At 50.4% G+C, this 6,000-nt stretch overlaps 2 pseudogenes across 2 annotated transcripts in view; both read right to left on the bottom strand.

The window, feature by feature from the left end:
* Nucleotides 1-3,236: 3,236 nt before the first annotated feature.
* On the bottom strand, nucleotides 3,237-5,465 carry DRD5P2 (dopamine receptor D5 pseudogene 2; annotated as a pseudogene). Its single transcript, NR_111001.1, has one exon. The product of NR_111001.1 is annotated as a dopamine receptor D5 pseudogene 2 (transcript).
* KMT2CP1 (lysine methyltransferase 2C pseudogene 1) overlaps nucleotides 5,187-6,000 on the bottom strand; it is a 26,056-nt pseudogene continuing 25,242 nt past the window's right edge. The window contains exon 10 of the transcript NR_136328.1: nucleotides 5,187-5,287. The product of NR_136328.1 is annotated as a lysine methyltransferase 2C pseudogene 1 (transcript). The remainder of the gene's footprint in view (nucleotides 5,288-6,000) is intronic.

Raw genomic sequence — 6,000 nt, 5'->3', positions numbered from 1 at the left:
ACCTGGAGTCTGCCCGCCTGGCCAAGGCCTCTCGAGTGCTGCAAGATGGGTATTTGGGGCCGGATAATTCTCTGTGCACCATAAGTTGTTTAGCAACATCTTTGGCCTCTACCCAGAAGACGGCAGGAGCACCTGACACCCAGTTGTGACAACCAAAAATGTCTCCAGACATTGCCAAATATCTGTGGGGGTGCAGGGTGCAAAGTTCCCTCATTTAAGAACCACTGACCTAGGGTGAACCGTGGTTCCACTACTTACTTTTCACATGACCTTGGACAAACAACCTTGTCCTCAAGGTCCTCTGTGCCCCCATGTCCTCACCTGTAAAATGGAAAAATAATAACATGTGAGGTTAATGTGAGGAATAAATAAGAATCCAGGAAAGCAATTGGCCCATCATGTAAGAGCTACTTTGCCCATAACCCTAGGGTGCCTTCCCTCCAAACACAAAGCTGTGCACAGAGGAGGTACACAGTGAAGATCTGCTGTTGTATAGCTGTGGGGATGAATCAATTAACCATTTCAGTAACAAATGAACAAAAAACTGAATGTCCTGATCTGTGCACTAGTGCATTTGCTGACTGAAGATGTCCTGGCATCCTCTCTCACCATCAAAGAGCAGTTAGGATTAAAGACTCCACAGCCAGGCTACCTGGGTTCAAGTTGAGCTCTGCCACTCAGGAGTTATGTGACCACAGGCTGGTTATTTAGCCTGCCAATGCCTTCATTTCCTTATCTGTAAAATGGGGTAATAAAAGTGCTTACCTCACAGGGCAATGAGAGTGAAATGAATTAATACATGTATTGTACCCAGCACAGGCTGGGTCTCCATCATGCCTGCTGCAATTGCTGCTACAGCAATTAACATTAATCCTATCACACTCCTCTTTTATAGCCCTCCAGCCACACTCCTCTGAGGGTGCCAAGAACAATCCCATTTCCAAGCCTTTGCACTTGCCACTCCCTCTGCCTGGATTGCTCTCCTTCCCAGACATTAGCAGCCCTCCAATCCTTACTTCATCAAGGTCTCTCTTCATGTGGCTCTTTGGAAAGTCCTCCCCTGACCACCATAAATAAAACAGCAGCTTCACCACCCTACTCACCCTGGGCTTTTTGCAACATAGCAATTACCCCTGCCTGGCATTATCTATCCTGGTCAGTACAGCACAGTGCAATGCAGTGCAGTATAGTACAGATCTCTTTATTGGCTTATCTCTCCCACAGCTCACATAAATGTTCCAAGAGAGCAGAGAATTTGATTGACAACTATATTCCCAGCATCTAGAACAATGCCTAGAGCATAGTACATAATTATAATGAATGGTGAGTGATATTTTACAGAAGGAAATTCCAAAGTCCTCACATAACCCATTTTCCATAACACAGAACTTATTTAAACTGGAGCCTAGAACAGTGTTTTTCACAAAAGATTTTGCTTATAGCAACCCATGCTTTAGAACAGAATATTGTAAAGACTTCCAGATCAGTTAGATTTGAGTTTCTCAAGTAGTGACTGTGGACTCCAGTGAAACAGTAACAGGAATTCCACCAAACAAGGTTCACAAAGTGAATGGCATTGGGAAATGATACAGAATCTTCTCGCACTGGAGGATGCATCATGCACAGGAGAAACTCTAAGAAGTCCTATCGAGAAAACAGGTGTTGAACCTGGGTTTGCTGAACTTATTTCACCAGAGACCCCATCCATTAACATCTGCATCACAAAGCACAATTGGGTAAACAGTGATCCAGCTGAAGTCCTTCCATTTACAGACACAGACAGAAAATGAGGCCCAGAAAGGTTAATTGACTCACTCAAGGTCATGCGACCATCTCCTGAATCGTAGAGCTGTGTGCTTTTCACTGCCCCTAATGTTGCCTAATGGTTCACTTAGCTATCCATTCACAGGAGGTCAGAAACTGAACACGGGCCTCAGATTCCAGTATCATTTTGACTAAATTATATATAAAAATTGATGTACCGAATAGGATTTGCTTTCAATCTCACTATTCCAGAATAGTCATTCATTCAACAAATATTTATTAAGTACGATGTGCCAGGAGCTGCACATTTTGCAGTTGGCTGCACAGAAGACTGACAATAAAATTAGCCTTAGAGAGATCAAAATTGATTGAACTGTCCTTGATAAAACTGCTTCAAAGCAGGGACTTGCAAGAAATTGCATATTCACATTTCATTTGCTTCCATTAATAGTGCTCATATTTAGATCTGATGGTAATACTATGCTCTCAACTGGTGTGGGTCTGGAATAAAACACTCCCCTTGACTGTGCACACTGCAGAGAGGAAAAACAAAATGATTGGAGTCAGCTGGGCTTTTCTATTGAGCACCTCGACCTACAGATTTTCCAATTTCAAGTTCATTCACATTTCATCTCTGGCTTCTACATTTTAGTTAAAAAGCATTTCTCTATTTGCTATTGTCCACTAAGGAAAATGCCTATTTAAAAATAGATTTCTTTTTTAAAGCATCTTGATTCACACATTTCAAAGCCCTTCAGAAAACAGGATTTCTCAAAAGCCATGTGATTCTAAAACATGCTACAGATTTCAGATGGAGAAAGATTCAAGATATTATTCTACATGAACTTTTCAATGAACTGATCGCATCTGTCTAGGAATAAGGAGAGTTGTCTCATGTTACTTCAAAAAAGATTCCAAATGAAAAAAAAAATCTGGGCTTGAGAAGATCTAATGCCATGCCATTGAAGCCAGGTTTCAGCACAGACCCAACATGTGTATAAGTAATAAAAAGAAACCTGAGAAAACAGAAGCTCCTCAAGGTCCTTTGCCCTGGTGTATCTTTAAGGCCAAACTGTAAAGAGAATAAGCATGTACTTCCAGACCCAGCAAATGTCTTCTTTGCATTTTAAGGATGCACTCATCGTTTCTTCAGAAGCAATCCTGAAACCCAGTGTAGCAAAGCAAAGATAGTCACCACATAATACAAATAATCTGTGTTTATTAGATACCAGAATAAATCAGGGAGACTTCTTAAGCTATGGTAAAGAGACCCCCACCAGCACAGAGAGAAGAAATGACACAAGCACAAAGCCACGGGAATCCAGACCCAGGAAAGCTGTGCTCCCACCACATCACTGCACACACACAAAACCTGCTGTTTAAAAATCAATTCAAACACAAACAAGTGACTGAAAAAGCCATTTGTTTAAAAAGGGAGGGGAGAGCATATTTTTTAAGGACCAAGTATCTTTTTTTTTTTTTTTTTTTTTTTTAAGGAGCCAGCACCATACTCTCTTCTCTCACAGGATCATTGTTCCATCTCTGGTAGGCTGGGTACATTTGACTGAGTTTATTGCAACTGCTTCTGCCAATTCTTTGAACTATCAATCAATGGGGTGAGGTTTCTAAGCACACCAGCTACTACACAGAAACACATGATAAAGGGAGCAGTACTGGAAAGCCATGTATTTGCTTGTGTGTGCATGCTTGTCAATGTCTGTGTGGTTATGCAGATCCATGAGGGGGTTTCTTAATGCAGTTTAATGGAATCCATTTGGGGTGAAAGGTGTTATTTTGTCTAAAGAAATCTCCCCCTCGCAGTCCAGCTCTCAGACAGACTCTGCAACAGGGTCACCATCTGGGGATGTCTGATAGATCTGGGACATGCGATCGAAAGGACTCTCCTCCTCCTCATCGTTGTCCACCTCCCGGTCCCCGGGGGGAACGGCGTTGGGCATCATGTGGATGTAGGCAGCTGCGATTTCCTTGTGGAAGACCGTGTCTTGGTTGTAGGAGATGAGCTCATTGCTGATGTTCACCGTCTCCACCGGCGTGCGGGAGCAGACGTGGCTGCACCCCAGCAGCTGGGCAAACACCTTCCGGAAGTCGGCGTTGAAGGCATAGTGACTGGGTTGAGTGAGGAGTTGGCCCAGCAGAACCAGATGAAGACGTCGAATGTGGTCTCACTGACGCAGGGGAAGCCGGCCGGAGGGCCTTTGGGGTGTCCACTGCAGAAAGGGACCATGCAGTTAAGGATGAAGAAGGGCAGCCAGCAACACACGAAGACCCCCATGATCACCGACAGGGTCTTGAGAACCTCGGTCTCCTTCTTGATGGAAAACCGCAGGCTGGTGTCGGGCGCGCAGCCTGCGCTGCTCCGGCAGCTCTGCACGTGCTCTGCGGCCCTCTCCAGGGAGGAAATCCTGCGGATCTGCACCTGGGCGATGCGGTAGATGCGCGTGTAGGTCACGATCATGATGGCCATGGGGATGTAGAAGCTGATGAGCGAGGAAGAGATGGCGTAGGTTCGATTCAGGCTGGAGTCACAGTTCTCTGCCCTCACGTCGGGCTCCCAAACGGCCTCCTCCCAGGGCGTCCAGTTGGCCAGGTTGTTTGGCAGGTCCAGCCCACCTCAAGAGACCGCCTGGTCCCTGTGCCAGTTGAGCTGGACCGGAATGAAGGAGATGAGGCTGGACAAGGTCCAGGCCGGGCGGACCATGACCAAGGCCATGCGCTGGGTCATCTTGCGCTCGTAGCGGAAGGGCCTGGAGATGGCCCAGTAGCGGGCCACGCTGATGACCTGCTGACGCACAGGTTCAGGATGGAGGCGGTGGAGCACATGATGTCGAAGGCCACCCAGACGTCGCAGAACGCTTCAAAGGGCCAGTAACCGGCCACCTCGGCGACTGCCTTCCAGGACATGACCAGCAGCGCCACGAAGAGGTCTGACACAGGTAGAGACACGATGAAGACGTTGGTCATCTTGGCGCGCAGGTGGCGGCTCCGCACGATGGCTGCGGACACCAGCACGTTGCCCAGCAAGGTCCAGATGATGAGTAGGGTCAGCAGGCAGGCGGTGACCACCTGCACGGGCCCCAGTGGCGGTGCCCCCGCCGAGCCCCCCACGGCATTCCCCTGCGCCAGCTGCTGGTACAGCGCTAACTGCCCCGGGTACGCGGTGCCGTTGCTCCTTGGCGGCAGCATTTCGGGCTGGGCCGCAGAGTCGGTTTGTGCGCGATCCCAACTACAGCCCTGCGACCCCCAGGCAGCCCCATCGGGCACCCCGAGGATGCGCCCCCTCAGCCAAGGGACCCTCGAGCCCTAGAGGGCGCTCACCATGAGCTGCGCCGGGTCCCGGAGCGCGCGGGGACTTCTCTTGCTTCCTGAAGCGCCTCTGGCTCGGTGGCCGTGGTGCGCCCCTCCAGTCTACGCGATGGGCACAGGAAGCGGCTGGTGCCCGCTGACAGCCAGGGCTGTTCTCGGGAGTCTGCGGCGCGCCACATGGCAGCGACAGCGGCTGTGTCTGGTTCGGAGCGAGAGAAGAGAGCAAGCCGCCACTGAGGGGCTGGGGCAGGCAGTCGCCAGCGCCGGGCTGGCACTGCGGCGCTGCCGCGGTCCCTGGCCGCTCCCCGGCCCCGCGTCCCGCCCCCCGCGCCTCCGCGCTGGACTCCAGCCCCACCTGTGCCTTGGCGCCCTAGCTCACCGCGCTCGGCGCGCCAGAGTGTAGTGGTGATCCCGCAGGTCCCAGGAGCGCCCCAGCGCCAGACCCTAGCCCCGGGCCGGGGAAAATTCTTCCCGGGAAGACCGAAGGGTGCTTGGTGTAGCCCTGGAGCCCTAGCCCTAGCCACGCTTGGGGAACAAGAGGTGGGGTAGGGATGAGGACGCGAGGGCTTCCGGAGGGGGAAAGAGCATTTGAAGTGTAAAGGGGACGGCCTTGGATTGCCCACAGACCTGAGTCCCAATCCGGACTTTATTCCTGGCTCTGCAACTTTAAGGGCCCTACATTACTTTACCCGGCCTTGGTTTCCTTCTCCACAGCGTGGGATAATGATTCCTACTCCTAGAACAGTGTCAGAACTCAGGGAAGCCTTCTAGGATGAGGTGTCCAGTAGACAGTGTCTCCTAGGAACAGGCTCCCGCTTCCCCCAGCCCCTCCCTCAACACCATGAGGCTGGGGCTTCACCTGACCTCTTGGGAGACTGTCCTTTTCCCCACCACCGCCCCCAGTCCTTCAGT

The sequence above is a fragment of the Homo sapiens genome, chromosome 1 (assembly GCF_000001405.40).
Source record: "Homo sapiens chromosome 1, GRCh38.p14 Primary Assembly".
Taxonomy (NCBI): Eukaryota; Metazoa; Chordata; class Mammalia; order Primates; family Hominidae; genus Homo; species Homo sapiens.
This window is presented reverse-complemented; position numbering and strand designations above follow the sequence as displayed.